The following is a 21,152-nucleotide window of genomic DNA, read 5'->3' on the forward strand; positions in this document are numbered from 1 at the left end:
GTGGGTGTTTGGGTTTCTGTTGCCTGGAACCAGGGGGTCTCAAGGCAGCACCACTCAGATCTAGGACTTTCTAAGGCTTCTCACTCAATCAGGGCCCTCGGGTTGTCAGGGAGGCCCCAGTGGAGCGTCTGGAGGTCATGAGGTGTGCACCTTCTCTGCTGATGCTGCCCACTTTCCCTCTGCTTCCTCCAGCCCTGGCTTACTCTCCTTTTTCCAAGTGCCCCGATTCTCTTTGGATTGCCCCTGCTTACTAGAGAGGCCATTCAGGAAACTTTGAAACATTGCCATTTATTCAATATCTAGTGCATCGTAGTCCCTTAATCCAAAACAACTGGTTTGGTTTTTGCATAAAGCTACCAGAAGATAAATATAGATAAAAATCTTGAAGATTTAGAAAAAGTAATATTAAAATAGATCCTTAGATATGTTCTTATCAACATCTGCAAGTGTTCATCCCAATATGGATTCCATCAGTTAGAGGGGTTTTAAGAGGGGTCACTGTGCGCCAGGCCCAGTGTGGGATCTGGGGGAGGTTGTCAAAGTTGTCTTCTAATCCAGAACAACTTGCTCACTAATATTTATATTTCTGCCTTCAATCTGGGAAGCAGCCCTTTTCAGAAAGGTTTGCTGCAATACTCTCTAGGGGACAAAGCTGAGTGAAACTCTAGAGGCTTGTCTTATACGCATAGACATCACGTGCACACTTACACCCCAGTCATTTCCGCATGTGGGATCATCACAGTTGTGTGTTTGACTTTTTCACCTGACCTTGTAAGTGCTTAGCCATATATTGAACTCTTTAATATCATTTTTGGAGATGGCATAGTGTCCTACTGTAAAGATATAACCTTCTTCCATTGTTAGGAATTTAGGGCAATTTCATATCTGAGACTCTGTCTTAAAGAATTAATTAAAATTTTGTGCACAAAGATGTTTAATATAGTGTTTTGAGAAGTCAAAACACAGGGAAGACTTCTTGTGTCTTACACTGAGAAATTCTTAGCCAGCCTCTTAGTTTCCTGAATTCAGGACTGTGTTGTGTAATTTTGAAGCCCCAATAGTGATATGGTCATTTTTTTCATATCTTCATTCAAAAAACCTCAGTCACCTGGGGAGTGGGTGGGGTGTGTGCTGGACCCTGACCTTGAACTGTCCAGACAAGTTCCTAACCACGTGGAGCTCAAGCTTCCCTGGGGCTTACCTGAATGACCTGCTCAGTGGCCAGCCACTTGCTGCGTGTCAGCCGGTGAACTCTGGGTTCCTGGCTTATCAGAGACTTCAAGTCCTCATTACCTTCTGGGTCTCAGTTTCCCTAATATGTGCAATGACAGGATTGGCCAGGGCTTTCCAACAGAAGTTTTTGCAATGATGGAAATGTTCTGTGTCTCTGCTGCCCAATGTGGTAGCCACTAGTCACATTGGCTGCTGGGCACTTGAAATTGACTCCTGTGGCTTAGAAACTGAATTTTAAATTTTATTACATTCCAATTAATTTAAATTTAAATAAGTAGCCACATGTGGCTAACAGCTGCGTATGGACACTGCCAGTCTAGACGGATATGATGCTTGTTTAATGGTCTTAAGAGGTCTTTAGAGTCTATTCTAATCCTGACATCTGGTTTTCTTTGCTTGTTTGTATTTATTTGTTCCTTTATTTTTACCACGACTGCTCTGAGTACCAGGAACTCCTTTTTGGGATGTCACAGATCACCAACTTCCTTCTCTGTGCTGTGTCAATAGGGACGTCACCCCTGTGGGGAAAGGAATTTGCCTGAACAAGACACTAAAAAGATAAAATAGGCTGAAGCGGAGAAGAATAAAAGATTGTGCTGGCATGAGCTAGTTTTGCAAAACCCATTTAAATAAACTCAGGATATTACCGACCCCATGCACACATTCTTTCCTTGACTCTGCAATGTTCCGTTAAACCAGATTGTGAATTTTTTTCAGGATTAACAATTTACATTTATGATTCTATTTTCTTTTATAAGTAACTGCTATTTGTAAATGAGACTAATTATTTGAATTCATGGTACAAATAACGTAATTTAGAGTTACAGAACTCTTGATCCTCTGGGTCTAAGCAAAATAAACGTAGTACCTAATGCTGGAATAGAGCAAGAGTTTTCTTTGAATCTCAAAATATCTGCATTGTGAAACTGGGTTAAGTTATTTTGGAAACTATAAATAGTCACTTGGTAATTAGGTGTTTGGTTTTATTTGTTCTAATGGAGTGCTTATTACAGTCGGTGCATTTTTACCCCACGGATCAGAAGCTTTTATAGGCCAAGTGATGAGAGACCATCTTCTACATTTCATTTGCTGATTGTGACTCATCACTGATGATCGATGGACTGCTGAACTTTTTAATTCCTGTTTGCTTGTAGAGAAAGAAAATTCTCATCTCTTTTGATAGGTCCTACTCCAAAATTCTGCAGCCGTTTTGTACAATCATAACCTTACACGATATCACACAAAGGCAGAGAAACGATTGCATGGACATGCCTTCCTGTCAAACGTGTATGGAATCTGGCCCGTCCTAGGCTTATCTCTTTCCACCAGGATTCTTCTTCCCATTTTTCTCAGCAGAGCATCTTCACGTAGTTCACATGACATCAGAACTTCATCAGGATGTAAGTTCCTGCAGAAATAGGCCTGTGTCTGGTCAGTAAACAGAGAATGTAATGACATTCCCAGAGCATTCACAGGCCAGAGTCTGGTGTCCTCCCCAGCGTCCAGCAGGCTGCGGATGGATGGCATGCAGCTGACAAGATTGATACTGCATTAGACATTCCTGGAGGTCCCTGCGGCTGGGGACTGGCACTCGCAGGCCTCCCCCTGCACACAGCTGTCTTTGGAGAGCACAGAGCAATGGGAGGCGGTTTTGTTTTACTATTTGCCATTTAGAGTCTCACTTTTAATTTATCCTCACTCTTTAAGAAATAATTGGTAATTTATTTCTTAGAGATCAAATGTTGCTACAAGCTGAAAACTGTTTTATAAATATTTCAGGAAACTTGAATGCCTGGAATTTTCATCGTCACGCTTAAGTCTTCCTCCAAAAGGGGATGGACTTCGTTCCATCCCGCTCCAAAAGCTGGTCCGATTCTTGCCTGGGTGTTGTATGCTATTTGCCTTTTCCATAGGCTCCAATAACAATAAGTACATCTTAAAATTGATGAAAGTTTAATGAATGGCTAGCAAGCAGAGAGACTACTTTTATAACAAGATTAATACCTTGGCTCAGGGGACATAACATTTTAGTAAAATCAAAATTTGTATAGTTATCCTAGCGGTGCTTGCAACCTCTGGCTTCCATATAAAAATGTCTAAATAAAATACTGGCAGCCGTCTCTAGCCATTATTTCCATCTGCTCTAGGTGGCCTGACCCGGAACCCACTCAGGGTGGTGCACTCTGGGCCGGGGTCTCTGGGATTTCTGTCGCATCAGCTTGTGCAGCCGTGGAATGGGGATGGGGCACTGAGGCTAGCTGTCCCGTGCTCTAGAGGTTCCTGGGAAAAAAATACAGAGAGAAATAACTCACAAGGGAGCCAGCATTTGGTGTTGTTTTAAATAAATTCATTCATCATCTATACCTTTTCCCCTTTTAATTACTACACTTTAAAAGGGATCTTGGTATATATTTATTTTTGTTTTGTTAATTTTTTTCTTTTTTAAAAAATTAATTGTAGAGATGGGGTCTCTCTACATTGCACAGGCTCGCCTTGAACTCCTGGCCTCAAGTGATCCGCCTACCTCAGCCTCCCAAAGTGCTGGGGTTACAGGCATGACCCACTGTGCCTGGCCAGTTTTTTTTCCCCCTTTTTGGCAAGGGAAGGCTATCGGGGTAGAAGTTCTGAAGCAAGTACTCTGAATGGTTTCTGATTTTAATAGGGGGAGCATCATTTCCTGATCTAATTTATAATGTGATATAAAGCTGCTGGCCAGCTGACACTAATCTTAATTTATGATCTATTTAACCTTTATATTTCCTAGCCACAGCTCGTACCACTCCCCCGTCTCTGCACCAGCATGTTTCAGAGGCAGGCAAGCAGCATCAGTTCTGGATCCTGGAGGCAAGGGGAGGGTTTTCACGGAGGGGCGGTGCACAGCTCTGTGCCTCCCCGGTCAGCTGGTCCGGCACTGCAGTCAGCAGCAAGGGCGTGGTGAGGGCCCTGCAGATTCTTCACACTGTCCTGGTCCTCTCTCCTGTTTCTGAATGGCAGGACTTTGGGGTCAGATTAGACCCTGCATGTACATAGATGACAACGGAATGGCTTTTTGGGGGGACTTTTTATTTTGAGATAAATTTTAGACTTGCTGAAAAGTTGCACAAATAGCACAAAGTTTCTGTATGCAGCCACCATCTGGTTTCTGCCAGCACTAACACCTCACACTTACCACAACCAGGGCGCTAACACGGGTGCACTACTGTAAACCTTGCCATCTCTCCTTTGTCTCCTCTAGTGCAATGGTCTGAATTTATGCTTCCTCCAAATTCCTGTGTTGAAACTCTACCCCCATGGTGATGGCCTTTGGAGGTGGGGCCTTTGGGCAATGACTAGGTCAGGCTGGAGCCCTCAGAATGGGATTAGTGTGCCTATAAAAGAGGACTGAGGGAGCTCACTGTCCTCTTCCACCACGTGAGGACGCGGCGAGAAGGTGCTCTCTGTGAACCAGGAAGAGGGCCCTTATCAGACACGGGCTCTGGCGGCACCTTGATCTTGGACTTCACAGCCTCCAGAATGTGCGAGATGAATTTCTGTTGTTTACAAAGCACCCAGTCTAAGGTATTTTATTCCAGCAACCAGAAGGAACTAAGACGTCTAACTTGTGACAGTTCCTCTTGCCTTGTTTTTTGTGACCCTGGACCCTTTCGAAGAATACTGGTCAGGTATTTTGTAGGATGCCTCTCGTTTGGGTTTGCTGATGTTGTCTCACAGAGAGACAGAGGTTACGTGTTTTTGGTAAGAAGGCTCAGAAGTGATGTGCCCCCTTGGGCCATCCTGTCCTGGGGACATATGTCTGTCAGTTACTGTGATGTTAGCTTGGTCACTGGGTATGGTGAATCTCTTGTGCATTTCCTCTTGGTAATTGAAGTTTTCCCATTGGTAATTAATACCTTGGGGGAGATATTTTGAGACCATTTTGGTTCTGCTCAGGCTTTCACCCACTCATCTTAGTGACCGTGGGTGTGTCTTGCCTGTGGCAGTTATTACTGTACTGTTTCCCTAATGTTTGTATTTCCCTCCTTCCCTTTTCATTTACCAACGGGAACTGTTCTGTAAGGAAGAGCTGTCTTTTCTTTCCCTTTTATTTATTAGTCATTGAATTATTCACATCAGCGTAGACTCATGGATATTTATTTTAATTTCTGGGGTATAGTCCAGTGCTGTCTTTACTTAATTTTGTTACTCAAATAGCCCCCAGTTTGGCTTTTTGGAAACTCTTGGGTTTGGCTCCTATGTCTTTTGGACCTGCCCATCGTTTTTCTAGCGCTTTCCTACTTTCTGGGATCATAGTATGATCCAGGTGTATCTTGTGTTTTCCCTGCCCCAGCCCTGGATTCAGTCACTTCTCCAAGGAGCCTCTCTTCCTTTTAGCTGGAGGATGATGTTTAGCAGCCAAGATCTGGGTGCTGAGTGTGCTTGCTGCTGCTGAGTCACTGCTCTTCCTGCCCTTCTCAGTAGGGGGAGCTAGGGGCTGTATGTGTGTCTACTGACCCGTGCATCTGCATTTATTTCTGTGTCTGCTGTCTGCATGCATGTTAAAAACTGCAAGTTCATCTGATGCCTCTAACTTGAATTCATCACAGCAGGTTTTATTCTAATCTCTGCCTTTCCTCTTTGTAGCTGCCTTCTCCAACATTGAGAAACCTGGCCCTCTTTATCTGCAACATGTTTGCTTATATGGTGGCTTCCTTTAAAAAGAATCTGGTAAAACCTGTGTCATTGTGTTTCAGCCACTAGATGCAGATGAGGCTTAGTAGGAAAAGCCCTACTTGTGAAGAACAGTATTTCCTATGCTTGCTTGGTGGAAAAAGTCACAGAATTTTCTATAGAATTCTCTGTAAACATGGTTAGGAATATAGGGTTGACATTTGGACTCAAATAGAAAATGAAATCCTTTTGTTTCATTACTTATTTCGTTACTCAGCTTTCACCTTGACTCTTGGAAAACTGATGGCATGTTTCCAAATGGATATGCCAGCTAATTAGCTTATTTCTCAAATATCCATGTTGGATGTGGAAAACAAATAAAAATAAAGCAAGGAAGACCCTCTACTGTTGTTATGTGAAGAATAACAATTACCTTTAATAGCATTTTCTGCTAATTTAGAGATTTTTCTTTTTCTTACACTTATTTTCTAACTCCTATGATTTGTGTAATTCATATCTTATACCTACATCTGATTCATTATGATTCTTAATTCTCTTTGTTGTAAACAGAAATATTGAAAATTCATTCGATGAACCTAAAACCCTTTAAAAGGTCTGGTTAAATTTTAACATTAAGGGTGATACAGTATTCATGCTATAGAACACAGACAGTCAGAAATCTTATGAAGTGTTGGAGACTTTAATGGATACTGTACTATGTAGAATCTGATCACGAGACTCCTGCTTCATCACGTTTTTACTCGAATTGGGTTTCCTGGTGACAAAAGACTGTGAAGTAGCTGACGGAAATACATCCTTATGTCAGTTTTCACCCGATGACTGAAAATTGTTGGATATATGCGTGAAATAATTAGGTCTTATTTTTGGAAGGGAGAGAATATAACCGACTGAAAAATAATTTGGAGTTAATTGTCCTGAAAATTCACCTACTGTATATTAATAGGTTAGGTGTTTCCTAATTCTTTCTTTCTTAAGCATATCTTCCTTTTCCTTACACTCTTTTTGACACAAACTTTTGAATATGGACTCACATTATAAATCTTGGGATTGGAAAGGCCATAAAGATTGGATTTTTAAAACTTCAACAATGTAGAGGAATACCAGTGTTGTATTTGTTCAGAAAGTCCTCATTGGCGCTGATTTGGGCACCGCCTGGTTTCCTACCGTAGAAGCGTGTGCTGTGGTGGGGTGAACTGGGCGGGGGATTCACACCAGCCTGGGCCCTGGGCCATGGGGGGCTGCCTCCCAGGGCTGCTTCAGCCGACAGGAGGGTGCGGTGGTGAAGAGGCAGGGCTCTGGGGATTGGAATCTCCACGCTTGACTTTAGGCTTCTACTGCTCACTCGAAATGGGACCTGAGGCAAATTATTCACCTGCATTGTGCTGGGTTCCTCACCTGTGATACATGGATTATAATATCATCTCTCTTCATGGGTTATTGTAAGGATTGATTTTATTAATATTTCGAATGTTAACGTTATTATTTATTTATTTTGAGATAGAGTCTGGCTCTGTTGCCCAGGTGCAGTGGTGCGATCTCAGCTCACTGTAACCTCCACCTCCTGAGCAATCCTCGCACCTCAGCCTCCTGAGTATCTGGGATTACAGGTACCCACCACCACACCTTCCTGATTTTTGTATGTTTTTGTAGAGACAGTGCTTCACCATGTTGCCCAGACTGGTCTTAAACTTCTGAGCTCAAACTATCCGCCCGCCTTAGCCTCCCACAGTGCTGGGATTACAGACATGAGCCACCGCACGCAGCCCAAATGTTAAGTGTATGACATAAAATTCAGGGTTACTTTGCCTAAACAGTTCAGTGTCTCTGATTAATGTGATTTCTGTTTCACTGACAGCTTTCATGTAAATTTAAAACTAGATAGAATTACAGAGCTTCAGAGTTGTACAGACTTGTAGAGGTAAAGTAAAGCCAAAACATTGAGCTCAGTGACGGGGTCAGTCACTTCCTGGTGTCAGAGTCCACTGACAGGCTCTGGCAACTCTTGCATCAAAATCCTTTGCACACAGGTCCTTTCTTGCTCTTAGCCAGTAGCAGCTGTCCTGGGCAGAGTTCCCTCAGTGAACCTGGAAACGGCAGTGGCTGGAGGTGAGAGGTGTCCATGTACTCACTTGTTCAAAGTTGCCCCCTCTTCCCTCTCTGGGCTTGGGCCCTGATACCTCTCAGAGCTACCCTGCCTCCTGCGGGGGTGGGGGAGGATGCCTTTATTATCTCTAGGCCAAAGGTTGGACCTCCACATATGTCCATGATGAGGGACAGCAGTCATCCCTTTCAAGACCGAGAAAGTATTTAACTCCTTGGAAAATTGAGGGTTTATTTTGCAGTGGTTTGGAAAATGTGCTGAGGGTGGCTGTAGAGTTAACTAAATAGAATGTTTCAGAGTCACAGAGATTTGTAATTGGTGGGCTTGGTTTGTTTTTATAGTGCTTACTCCTTTTTATCTGCCTTGTGGATTTATGCATTTATTTGATAAGTCAGTCATTTACCTCCCCATTCTTTGGTTTTCATGTTTCTGTTTATCATCAAGATAAGCAACTGTGGGTTTTCTTCCATCGAAGCACCTGCCGCAGGTGATGATTTTAATGGTATGACTGCCATGGTCACCACGACCATTCCGAGGACTCTAAACATGTTTCTTGTCCAACACTACTTTAATTTGAAACAAAGCCTGAATTGAGCAGCATTCGTGTCTGTGGTAGACCAGGGAGGCAGGGCTCACCTCTGTTTTCAGTTCCCCTTTGCTGGATGTGCAGGAGGACTGCCCCGTTCCACTCCTTCAAGGGTGGCTTGGTCATGGACTTGGTTTGGCTAATGAGCGTGGCCTGGAGTGGCATGTGGTGCTTCTTGGTAGATGTGTGTGCACACCAGCTCTTGGTTCTCCCCATGTGATACTGGGACAGCTGTGGGATGGGATGGGCGCAGCCTGTGGCATCAAGCTTGCATGAATCAAGGCCGCTGCTGGGGCTAGCCCAGACCCGTAGTGGGTTTGGTGGTGGTTGTTACTGCAGAGCGTCCCAGCCATCCTGACTAGTACAGCGTGGAGTGTGTCTATGTCCTGGAGCTTGGGGAGAGTCCTGGCCGCAGTCCAGGCTTTGAAGAATGTTGACTTGACCTGGAATACCCACCTGTCCCTGGAGTGCTGTGTTCTTAGGCTAGTTCCGTAACCTCCCTGTCTGCTTCTTCATCTACACACCATTTGATCTTCCTTAGGTTTGCTGTAAGGAGTAAATGAGATAACGCATGTAAAGCACCTGGCCCGGTGCCAGGCATATTTAGTTAATACGTTGCGTTCCTACCCAGCTAGACCTTTTAACAGTCCATTGGCATCAGGTCACCTACAAAAAGGTACAGAAGCTGCCTTTCTCTGTGGTATTTGCTTTTTGATTAAAAAAAGGAAATAAATGATCACATAATTGTTTTATTTTGCCTTAAAAAATGAGTAAAAAAAAAATGTGGCTCACATATGCCAGAGGTGTGATATGTGAGTCGTCTCTCCCTGAGGAAGGCTGCAGCTGAGGTTGGGGGTGAATTTTTTCCCCTGCATGAAGAGGGGTGACTGGGGATGGGGCCGCCTCCCTTCCTAAATTTCCGTGCTCCCTGTTGGTGTAATTAACTTAGGGGAAACCACACGTGGGGATTCAGGGGCTTCTCCCTTTATTCTTTTCCTTAAAATCAAGTTACATTTTTTTTTGAGCAATAAACTTTAGAACAAAATGAGGAATAGAAAACAAGATGTCGAGACAAACAAGCCTTAGCGAGGCAGCTGTTAAAAGCAGCCGGACCCAAACAGAGCATAAAAATGCATGTAGTCCAGAGAAGCACTTTTTCTTTTTACGGCTCTACCCCGTATTTCATTTATATTTAAAACTGAGTTGACGAATATGAATACAGATATTTAGAGTTATTGTAAAGTCGTATTTGTTTATGTGCGTGGTCCAGTTTCCAGGCCATATCTTACAGTTTAAAAGGGAGAGCAGTTAATGGTTTCGCCCACACTGCTTGGATTTTTTTTTTTATTATTATCCTCCAGCTCCTATTCTTCAGGTGTGCAGCTATTTTAGTATTATGAAGAATGATGGATGATGCAGGAAAGTTTCTTTGGAAGCACTTCTGATATTGTGCAATGCACTTGGGGGTCAGCTACACTTGACTGATGCATGATTTATCCAATGTCCCTGCCACTTCCCGAGATAAAGCTGCTGCTTTATCGAAAATGCCAGCAACTGTGATTTAGAATTTATAAACCTCCGTTTTCAAATAATTGTTCTGATTACTTTCTGCCTTGGCAATAAAATGATAAAGGTAATTGCACACAAATGTGAGATAGCACCAAAATACAATAAAATTAACCTGAATTAGCTTGACTTGTCGATGAGAAGTATTTATGAAATGTGGTGTTGCAATAAGGGAGGGAGAGTGATATTATGGCTGGAAGGTGAGTTATTGCTTTAATGTGATACTCTTTGAAATTTAAAAAAGAGACTGTTTCTGTTGAGGGTGATTGTGCTTTTGAAATTAAGTTGAAGTGATTCTTATAATTGGCAACGAGAATGCATTTTGAAGGTAATATCTTTTATTGTGTTATGCCTAGTTGCATCACCTTTTATTTAGCTGTTTCTGGCTTCAGCTTTTCTAATACTCAGGTAGAAGCAGACTTGGAATTCTGTCGGATCCAGGGGCTGAAATGTTGTATTCTCTTTGTAGCAATGCCCCTGGTCTTAATGTTACAGACTTTTTCCTCCTACATTTGATTAAATTGTTTAGATATCAAAGGTTAAATATTATAGCTAGTTAATGTTTTTTTAAGTTTAAAGGCGGTTTTAGAAATGTGTTTTGTTTCCCTGTCTTTGTGTGCACTGGGAACATCTCATTGTAGCCTGATGGTTTCAACAGTATCAGATCAGGGTTCCATGTCTGATACCCATAGTTCGTAATCTGCCTTTTACATTCCTGAAATGAAATTCCTGGATAATATCCATCTACATGTACTATTTAAATGAAACACTTTAGGAGCAGTAATTTATAATAAAATAACATGCCTTCAGAACAGGAATGCTTGGGCAGGACTCTGCTAGCAGACATAACGTGGCAATCAGGTGTATGTACCTGGAACACAGCAGCTGCAAATGGAGATTGAGACAGTTTTGTTTATTGGACATTCATCATCTGGTCAACGTTGACATTGGTGATATAATTTTTCCAAAATGGTGGACAGCTTTTGTAAAGTTTCAAAGAAAATGAAGTTCACCTTTCCATTGAGTTACAGGATAGTTGTGTTCTTAGAAAACTTTGTGTAGAGAAAAACTGTGCAGAAAATTTTGTGTTTGCAGTAAACAGAATTCTAGTTTAGGGTCTTATGAATTTTAGATTTGAATGTGTTGCAGGACAGTTGAAAGTGACACAGGTTGCAGGACGACACTGTTGTTTGGGATGGGAGAACATTCTACATTCTTGATTCCCCCCTTTTAAATGTCGATAGCTCCCACAACCATTGTGACAACTAAAAAGTGCTTTCAAATTCTCAATAACCCCCTCTTGAGAAGGACTAGAGAGGATGCCCTCCAGAACATCCTCCCCTGGCCAGATTGTGATTAGATCAGGAGCTTCCCAGCACCCTCCTGCTCAGAGAGCCTGTGCCACCTCACATGCCACCATGGGAAGCCTGAGATTTTGGTTCCCACTGTTGCCTGGGAATCCATTTCCAAATGAGTGGGGAGAGAGATGTCATCAAAGCTGAGAGTCCTTGGCAATTGATTGTACTGTAGTGCCCTCCACCACCTTTAGGACCTGATTTTGTCTAGCCTAGGTTTGTGTGAATGTGGTAGGGTTTTTTTTTCTGACTTGGTAATAAAGTTTGTAGTATTAGTGACTTGTAGGATATCTAACAAAGATGAAGTTTTGGAAACTAAGGCCAACTTTGGAAAGTGTTATAGACTTAAAATTGCAGCGTGTGTTTCCCCCTGTTGACTTTGGGAGTACAGCACTGGTATGCTGTTTTTCCAAGGAGAATGAAGTATTGGGAAAGAATTGCTCAGGAAAAATATAACTAGTAGGATTTTTTCCAGAAATAATAAATGGAATTGAGAAAATTGAAGTGAAACAAGATTCTGTGGTAGATAAATATCTCTTTTAGTCCCCCAACCCCACTTTTATTTTCTAGTCTATTGATAAACTGTATATTATTATGATAGCCTACTTTGACTCTTGGTTTGTAAAAATGAAAGTATAATACAGGCTTTATGATTAGGCTAGTGTGAAGTTACATGTTAAAATAGGGGGCTGACAACATATCAAATACCTGTGTAATTTAATATTATGTGATAAATATGTAAAGTAAAAACTGAGATTCCATTTTTTCCAACATTTTGACTTAAGGCTGAATTTTAGGGGTCATTAAATTATCATGGAGCTCAGATAGATACACGGTGGTTCTTTGTCTTACTCTGGGTGTGAGCAAGCTGGTCTTTTCCTTCTTTAAAAATGGTTGAGTTACTTTCTGTCTGCATCTGATACATCCAGTATCTCAAGTCTTTGCTTGCTTATTGTACATTCATCATCTGGTCAGCATGGATATTGGTGACATCATTTTCCTAAGATGGTAGACAGCTTTTGTAAAGTTTCAAAGGAAATTAAAGTTCAAGAACAAGCTAATAAAGTTTTTTGGCTTGTTCTTGCTCATGGTGTCTTATTTCCATGTTTTCCTGTTTCTTTGATTATACTGGGCATCATATTTGAGAGATTGCTCATTATTCATGAGAGCAGTGTGAAGCCTGAGGGGTTGTGCTTGTCCCTGGGGTAGTTTGATCCCTTCGGTCAGGTGCTGAGCACACCAACAGGCTTTGTGAATTGCTCAGATGGCCACGAGCTGAGACCTGCAGAGTGGTCTCTCGTCTGCAGTTGCTATTTTTTTTTTTTTTTTTGCAGCATTTCCTCACTAGGCCAGTGGTTTTCAACTGGGGGCAGTTTTGTCCCTCAGGGGAACTTTGTCATGGTAGACATTTGTGGTTGTTACAACTGAGGGGGTGCTGCCGGCATCCAGTGGGTGGAGGCCAGGGATGCCAGTGAACATCCCACAACACATGGGCTAGCCCCACAACAAAGAGGAATTCTCTCTCCTGCAATGTCGGTACTGTCGTGGTTGAGACAGTTCATTGGTCTCTGTAGAACTTGTTTAAAGCCCAGCTTGTCCCTGGCCCCACCCCGGATTTCCCTGCCTACCCTCGGTTCATCCATGGCATCCCATCCTCTTGGGCAGGATTCTCTTGGTGCCATCTTGGACCCCTTCTTCTGTTGTGTCTTTCCCATCACCCTATGGCAAAAGAGTTTTCCATTTCTGTGGTTTTCCAAGCATCCCACACCTCCCCTTGCAGCCACATACTTAGGGCTGGTGAAGTAGCCGTTCAGTCATCTCACTGGCTCCAGATTGTTCTCCAGGCATCCAGGGGGCATTTATGCTCATGCCCAGCGCTGGTGGCTGCCTCGATGCTATTGTAGATGTCCAAGTCCTGAGCCCTCGGACTGCTTTCAAAGCCCCAGCTGCCCTACCCTGTCCTCCCATCTCTCGTTCCTATAATCCGCTCTATCCGAAAGAGTCGACTTGCCATTTGTACAACTCCATACTTCACATTTTTCTTTTCTCTGCCTTTGTACACTCTGTTTATTCAACGTACATAGTACAAATACCTTCTTAATCTACCCCCTTTAAACTCCTAACCATTGTTCAAAACTCCTCCTCCTATGAAACTTTTCTTAGTCCTTGGATTTGGATGTTGTCATCTTCAGGGCATCTTCTCTGGGTTTCTTTGAGATCAACACAATATAGTCAGGGCTGTGGGCCCTGAGCCCATCTGAATAGGATCCCAGTCTTCACTCTGCCACTTAGGGGCCATGTGTCCATCACCAGGTTACTTGAGATCCCCAAACCTCAGTTTCCCTGTGTCTAAAGTGGGGGTTCCAGTGCTATGTTATGATGCTTTGCCAGGCTACAGTGGAGAGCTAGGTGAAAATGTTCCTGCGACGACCAGTTCCTGTGAGGACCGGGTGAAACAGGACTGATCTAGTGTTGAAAGGTCTCTGTGAGCCGTCAGGCAGGTGACGTTGGAGCCAGCCTCTCCAGGGTGGTGTGCGTGGTGCTGCAGTCTCTGCATTTATCCCATGTCCTTGGGTTTGGCTTCCAGACGGATGTGAATCTCCCCTCTGGAGCATGTAGATGGAGGACAAGGCCTCTGGGGCAGGGGTGGCCTGGAGACATCGCAGTGGTCTTGTCTGGTGGCACACAGACATTTCCCAGTTTGGTGCGGGCCGCCCTGTGCACAGCTGTCCTACAGCATCAGAGCAGGCTGTGGAGGCAGGGCCAGGCTCACTGGGAGCAATGGCCCTGCTGGAGGAGATCTGGCTTTCAGTCCCTGTTCACAGAGGGTCCTGCTGAATTGGGGACAGGGGTGCCCCAGGAGTGAGCTCTGCAGTATGTAGGAAGTCCTAGTTCCGGTGCTGGGGGAGGAACGTCCTGAGAGTGGGCCGGAGGAGATGGGGATTTATGAGCTGAGCTGTGGGAAGCAGGCTTGCAGAGCCTCTGGTGAGTGGGCCAAAATGACAAATGGATTCTGTGCAACTTTTTATTGTCCAGCCTCACACTGTATTTCTTCGCGCACTGCTGTGTTTGCCAGGGTTTTGATTGTATTAGTTACTTGTGAGATGGAGAAACCTTTCCGTCTCCCAAAATAAATATGGATCTGCTTTCAAAATGTTTTAGCTGTTAAACTTCAGCAGCTAGCAAACAAGCCGAAAGCTTTTGTTCTCATTCCACCACAGGTTTGTAGAGTTTGAATCCCAGATAAAACATGTACCAAGCCACTGGATTCTGGGTGGGATACTAAGTCCTTTGCAGGGAGGTGACGCCCTTTGTTCTGTGACATTTTTGTTTTTGAGGAGTCTCCCATTTCCTTCTCTCACCAAGTTAGTTTTCTGTCTTGGGTGGGGCTCCCTAATTCTTAGGGACCTCTGGTACAGCCCAGTAGCAGTTCTCAGCCTGTAGGTCCTAGCCCGTAGGTAGACAGATGCTGTGGGGCAGGGCCAGCCCTTTTGTGGAGTAAAAAGCCCTTTTGCGGGTGGTTCTGATGGCCACACCACTCCAGCCCGCCTGGAAGCCGCCATAGAGATAGCTTTCACATACCTGGTGATACGTGGCAGGTCCTAGAAGGTATGGGTGAAGGTGGTGTGTACCAGGGGTTGGCAGGGGAAGGAGGAAGAGAGGAGTCGTAGGGCTGGAAAAGGAGAAAAAAGTTGATCTTCACCTAAAACAGTGTGTTTGTCAGTTGAGAAAACTGGTTTTACACTTAGAAGTTAAAGGTGGAGTATATCGAGGTAAATGGGTGCTGACCTCTCTGGTATACAACAGATTTAATTTTTCTTTCTTTCTTTTTTTTTTTTTTGTTTTTTGTTTGTTTTTTTATTTCTTTTGAGATGGAGTTTTGCTCTTGTTGCCCAGGCTGGAGTGCAGTGGTGCGATCTTGGCTCACTGCAACCTCTGCCTCCCGGGTTCAAGTGATTCTCCTGCCTCAGCCTCCCAAGTGGCTGGGATTATAGGCGCCTGCCACATGCCCGGCTGACTTTTTGTATTTTTAGTAGAGACGGGGTTTTCACCATGTTGGCCAGGCTGGTCTTGAGCTCCTGATCGCAGGTGATCCACCCGTCTCGGCCTCCCAAAGTGCTGGGATTACAGGCATGAGCCACCAGGCCTGGCCAGATTTAGTTAATTTGGAAAACCCCATTAAATAGCTCAGATCAGATTGCTTACTTGGTTGAAAAAAAGGCAAAGGTAATATTTTCTGTCATGAACAAGGTTTGTGGATATTGCTAATTACTTATTTGAAAGAAATAATAAAATGAAATTCAGTAAAATCAAATAACTTGGCAGTTATTTGAAGGAAGCGGCTCTTTTCTGCTGGGCTGCGACTTTGAGGAGCAGTTGCGTCATTTCCGGGTGAAGCCAAGAGCCCTTGCCATCACCTGGCTCCACCAGGGTTCTCTGTGTGTTTTCCTTTTGGGTTGAAATTTTCCCTTTTAGCTGCATGAGATGTTTATTATTGCTACTCAGAAGTGCCTGGAATCTATATTGCTTTAAGGTGTGGGATGAAGTTTCCTTTCATGATGGTTTAATTTTTATTGCGTTCGCATAGAGCGTTGCCGCCGTTCACAGGATGCCCATGATAGTCCCGCCCCTCGAGACGACATGCAGGATTGCACCTTCCACGCCCAGCACACACCAGGCCCTGCACACGGTTCCTGTGTGCATTAGTGTGGTTGGGCTCCTTCTCTGTGTGTGTGCCTGGCACATTCGGATTTCCTTGTGTCCTTGTGCGATTTCTATAGAAAAAGGTGTGTTTTATCAAGTGGAAAATAGCTTACAGTAATGGTAGTTAATTATTTTGGAGTTCCAAGTTGTTTAGAATTGATCGAATTCCTAAATCTTGAGTTAAAATTCTACTCTAGGATGACTAAGAAAGACATGCTGTGTTTACGTGTATTTTCCAGTTTAACCAGAGGTGACTTTAGACAAGTAATTCTGTTCTGCCAATTTATTTCTCTAAGTATTGTCAATTTAGCTTTTTCATGGGATTCTGGGATACAGAGTTGCTTGGTCCATTGAAATCTATATATGTAATTTTGTTTTTAATCAAACCTAACTTCTGGGTTTTAGAAAGCATCTCCTGTCCACAGCTTTTGAGAAAGGTCCCGTAAATTGGATGACACCAAATGGCTCCAGCACCAGAATGAAAAGGAAGAGCAGCAGAGACTTGGGGCACCCACCTGGGGGCTGTTTCCTAGTGCTGGGCAGAATCCTGGGGTCAGGGTTGGAGGGCCTTAAGGCCAGATTGGAGGTGGGAGCATGGCAAGGTTGCCGTGCCAGGATGCACAGTGTCCATCTGGGGTCCTGGAGCGGCCTGGGTTCTTCCCGCAGGGTGCTGTCCTCTGCCTGACAAGTCCTGTTCCCTGTCTCCTCGGGAGAACACCAGTACCAGGACTCCAGGAGTTGCCAGGTGGGGGCATCTAAGGAAAGGAAATGTTCATGGGATGCGCCACAGAGATGATCCCTCGGAGAATATTTTCCGGTCTTTCATAGAGGCTAAAATATAACATAGTTGTTAGAAATATGTGGTTTTGTAGGAAGTTACATACCTTGGGGAAAACGCTGGAATTGACACCTGAGAATGGGTGAAATGTTGGAAGATGTTGAACAGGTGAGAGGACTGAATCGGTGCAGAGCCACACCTGGTGGTGGGAGCACGTTGAGGGCCTGCGGGTGCCCTTGAGGAAGGGTTTTGGTGGATGACAAATATGATAGGAACCACGTGTCTTGGGGAAAACACTGGAATTGATGAGTGAGAATGGATACATTATTGGCTCTATTGGAAATTATGGCTGACAGATCTGAAGCTCTGTCATGCATTGGGGGCTTGCTGGTTATTTCAGTTTAGTAATTTCATTGATCTGTAACAGATATGTGTCAAAGAGTTTTAGGAAGTTGATAGAAGTGTACATATTGATGAAAATAAAAATTCGTAAGAAATAGATGATGGGTTCAGGTACAGAATAAGGGCAGGAAAATAAATGAAACCAGTATACCAGATGCAGGCATGTGCTTCCCATGATGGGAACCCCAGATACCAGACGCAGCCAGATGCAGCCACGTGCTTCCTGTGATGGGAACCCGGTATACTAGACGCAGGCACGTGCTTCATGCAGTAGGAACCCCATATATCGGATGCAGCCACATGCTTCCTGTGATGGGAACCCCGTATACCAGACACAGGCACATTCTTCCTGTGATGGGAACCTGGTATACCAGATGCAGCCACGTGCTTTCCGTGATGAGAACCCTGTATACCGTCCGCAGCCAGACACAGACACGTGCTTCCTGTAATGGGAACCCGTATACCAGATGCAGCCTGGTGCTTCCCATGATGGGAACCCCATATACCAGACTCAGCCACGTGCTTCATGTGATGGGAACCCAGTATACTAGATGCAGGCACGTGCTTCATGTGATGGGAACCCGGTATATTAGATGCAGGCACGTGCTTCATGCAGTAGGAACCCTGTATATCAGATGCAGCCACGTGCTTCCTGTGATGGGAACCCCGTATACCAGACACAGGCACATTCTTCCTGTGATGGGAACCTGGTATACCAGATGCAGCCACGTGCTTTCTGTGATGAGAACCCCGTATACCATCTGCAGCCAGACACAGACATGTGCTTCCTGTAATGGGAACCCGTATACCAGATGCAGCCTGGTGCTTCCCATGATGAGAACCCCATATACCAGACGCAGCCACATGCTTCATGTGATGGGAACCCCGTATACCAGACGCAGCCACGTGCTTCTTGTAATGGGAAACATCTTTGAATATGCCAGGAATTAAGCAGTGAGCTTCTTGATGGTCAGAACACTGATGGCACCCAAAGTAGTTGCGTTAAGCCAGCACCAAGGTTCTGGGTTGTGTGTTTTGTTTAACACAGCCATATTCACCTGGCCATCAGTTTTTTAGTGAGGAGACCTTCCCAGGGCTATTGGGGATCAGATGAGGGGCCTAGCATATACTAAGGGCAGAGCTCTGAATAGGTTAACAAGAGCCCTAGATCCCATTAGAGCTGGGACTAGTTTTATCTGTGCAGGCCTAGAGCCCCCCTATGCAAAGTGGCGTCTGGGCTGGCAGCATCACCTGGGCCTACCCACTCCTGCTGTATCGGAATCCGCATTGCACAAGCTCCCAGCACTGGCCGCTGTGGAGGGAATGGCGCTGTCTCGTGGTACCTTCTCCCCAAGGCTGGCTGCTGCTCTTCCTTAGGTCTGAGTCTGGCTGTCCTCTTTCCAGGTCGAGGATTTAAAGCCGCCTAGCTCAGGGCTCAGTCCTGGGTGTGTGGCTGGCCAGGAAAGGGCAGTGAATTCAATTTGCTAAGTGTCTGCTCTGCAGATGCAGGATGCTGGAGATGGGGGGCGCAGAAAGAAACAGGCCCTGATTCTGCCCTCGCACGTGGTGGGGTAGAGGCGGCGAGGTGTTGGCAGCCATCCCTGCTTTAATTGACCTGAGTTGTCATTCCCTCAGCGATCAGTTTCACCTGTTTGCGGACTGCCTGTAGTACTGCTTGCTTCTTGTTTTCTTTATATCAACTTATTTTTAAACACCCGCTTTAACTTCTTCCTAAGGAATTGCAGTGAGAACAAGTGTTTGCTATGCTCATTTTGTTTATTCTGTTACACGTTAATTTAAATCTATAGTTAATAAACTAGTGTCTCAACTAATCTCACCACCTGAGGCGTGTTCAACACCCTAGAGTCAGACCACAGCCTCCCTGTGACTTCCCCACACCAGGTCTCTGGAAGGGTCGTTCTCATGCCTTTGAGCTTCGGGTCTTTCATCATCAGAGGAATGGACTGTGTCTCATTTGCAGGGCTCTTGTAAGGATTAGAGAAGAGGAAAGTGAGTGCCTGGCATGAAGGAAGTACCATCAATGTCACTAAACAACTCTTACTATTAAGTGTTTCTGAGTTGAGTTGTGGCTTAGCGATGCGTGAAGCAGTTGTTGAATTGTAGTCTGTGCCGTTCAGTGCCTTGAATATAAGTATATTTGATAACGTTTATGATAAGTGTTGGTGAGGATGTGGAGAAATTGGAACCCTGTGTGTTGCTGGTGGGAATGTGAAATGGAGCAGCTGCTGTGGGACACTTCTGGAGGTTCCTGAAAACATGAAGCATAGAATTCCCATGTGGCCCAGCAATTCTACCCCTAAGGACATACCCCCCAAAATTGAAAGCAGGGTCTTGAGTAGATATTTGTACACTGGTGTTCATAGCAGCATCATTCACAGTGGCCAAAAGGAGAACACACACAAACGTCTATCTGTGAGTGAACAGATACATTAAATGTGGCCTATCCATGCAATGGAACATTATTCAGCCTTAGAAAGGGTGGGAATTCTGGCACATGCTGCAACATGGACAAACTTTAAAGACATTACGCTGAGTGATATAAGCCAGTCACAAAAGGACAAGTACTATATGGGTCCACAGACATGAGGCACCCAGAACAGGCAGATTCAGAGATCAAGTAGAATAGTGGGTGCTGGGGGGTGGGGAGAGCTATTGTTAAATGGGGACATAGCTTTTGCTGAGGTTAATGAGAAAATTTTGGCTATAGATAGAGGTGATGGATACACAACTTTGTGAATGTATTTAATGCCACTGAATTACACACTTACAAAATAGTTAACATAAATATTGCATTTTGCCACAATAAAAATATATTTCCTAACATTTAAACAAAAGGAGTGTCTGGGACGTTACCTCTGACACACCTGGTTATTTGGCACCACCGGCGACCCCTGGCTGCTGGCAGGTGTCTGGAGCAGCAGCTCAGAGCAGGAGGCCCAGAATCCACAGTGCCAGGTCTAGGAGTGCAGGGGTGTGGCAGGAAACGTGACCCCGCGGCTCCTCTTCAGAGCCTCGGGGACCACCAAGGCAGTTCTTGACACTTTATCCTGGCCTTGGTGTTCAGCATCGGAAAACAAGGAGAACTAGAATGTCTTGACTTTCTAAAGGTTGTTGTAAAACAAGGGAAGGCCATGATGCAGTGAGTTTTATCACACTCTTGCTGTGACCTTCATGAGGATGTTGGAGCGTCTTTTCTTCATTGCGGACAGAGGCTTCCAAACTCCACGGCTGAGCCCCAGTTACAGTCAGTGTGCAGTAAGTCCTGTGGGTAGTCGTAGAAGTGGAGAAAATGGCAGTATCTTTTCTCTAAAAAACGTTTACAAACAGATACTTAATGTGAGTTTGCTTGCTAATAGGTTAGGTTCTTAGAGTTTAAAGAAGTAGTTAATTATCAAAGCTTTTTCATTCTTGACAACCAGCATTTTTCCTCTAATTCAGGCTACCTTTGAAATGAACACTGCAGATCTCTGAGATTTTCATCTGTGAATGTTGTTTGAAGAATTCATTCTGCTGCAATTTAGATAAAATGTACCTGCTGAATTTTGTAATAACATTCACAAAGTTTTATATTTTTGTTCGTGTTTGAAATATACAATAGAGGTTTTCCTCGTGATAGTGAGAATATATCAATATGAGAGAGATACAATTATATCAATCAATTATTTGAACAAAGATTGGGTATTGTTTACATATAATTTTGTAATAATTCCTATTTCCAAGGAAGAACAATGCACAATA

At 44.2% G+C, this 21,152-nt stretch overlaps 2 protein-coding genes across 2 annotated transcripts in view, besides 1 other annotated feature; one reads left to right on the forward strand and one right to left on the reverse strand.

Moving 5' to 3' along the window:
* MGMT (O-6-methylguanine-DNA methyltransferase) overlaps positions 1 to 21,152 on the forward strand; it is a 303,743-nt gene that overhangs the window by 25,944 nt on the left and 256,647 nt on the right. The gene's annotated exons all lie outside the window — the stretch shown is intronic.
* Positions 1,302 to 1,943: an enhancer, noted in NCBI's record as "NANOG-H3K27ac hESC enhancer chr10:131292750-131293391 (GRCh37/hg19 assembly coordinates)". NCBI's record gives its function as "activates a minimal SCP1, AML or CMV promoter by ChIP-STARR-seq in primed H9 embryonic stem cells {active_cell/tissue: H9 hESC(primed)}" and the evidence as "EXISTENCE:reporter gene assay evidence [ECO:0000049][PMID:30033119]".
* On the reverse strand, positions 17,436 to 20,614 carry LOC124902531 (uncharacterized). The gene is made up of 3 exons (XM_047426131.1): positions 20,570 to 20,614; positions 20,268 to 20,371; positions 17,436 to 18,129 (listed from the first exon to the last, which is right to left on the reverse strand). The coding sequence occupies exons 1-3, from the start codon at positions 20,612 to 20,614 to the stop codon at positions 17,436 to 17,438; spliced, it is 843 nt and encodes a 280-aa protein (XP_047282087.1).

This window comes from Homo sapiens, chromosome 10, assembly GCF_000001405.40.
Source record: "Homo sapiens chromosome 10, GRCh38.p14 Primary Assembly".
NCBI lineage: Eukaryota > Metazoa > Chordata > Mammalia > Primates > Hominidae > Homo > Homo sapiens.

What these genes read in the sequence shown, in the direction of transcription:
- LOC124902531 (XM_047426131.1), bottom strand. Translation starts at nt 20,614, where the DNA reads ATGAAGAAAAGACGCTCCAACATCCTCATGAAGGTCACAGCAAGA. An exon ending in TCATGAAGGTCACAGCAAGA is followed by an intron (nt 20,372 to 20,569) that starts GTGTGATAAAAC and finishes CTGCACTCCTAG; the next exon opens with ACCTGGCACTGTGGATTCTG. An exon ending in AATAACCAGGTGTGTCAGAG is followed by an intron (nt 18,130 to 20,267) that starts GTAACGTCCCAG and finishes TTCTCATCACAG; the next exon opens with AAAGCACGTGGCTGCATCTG.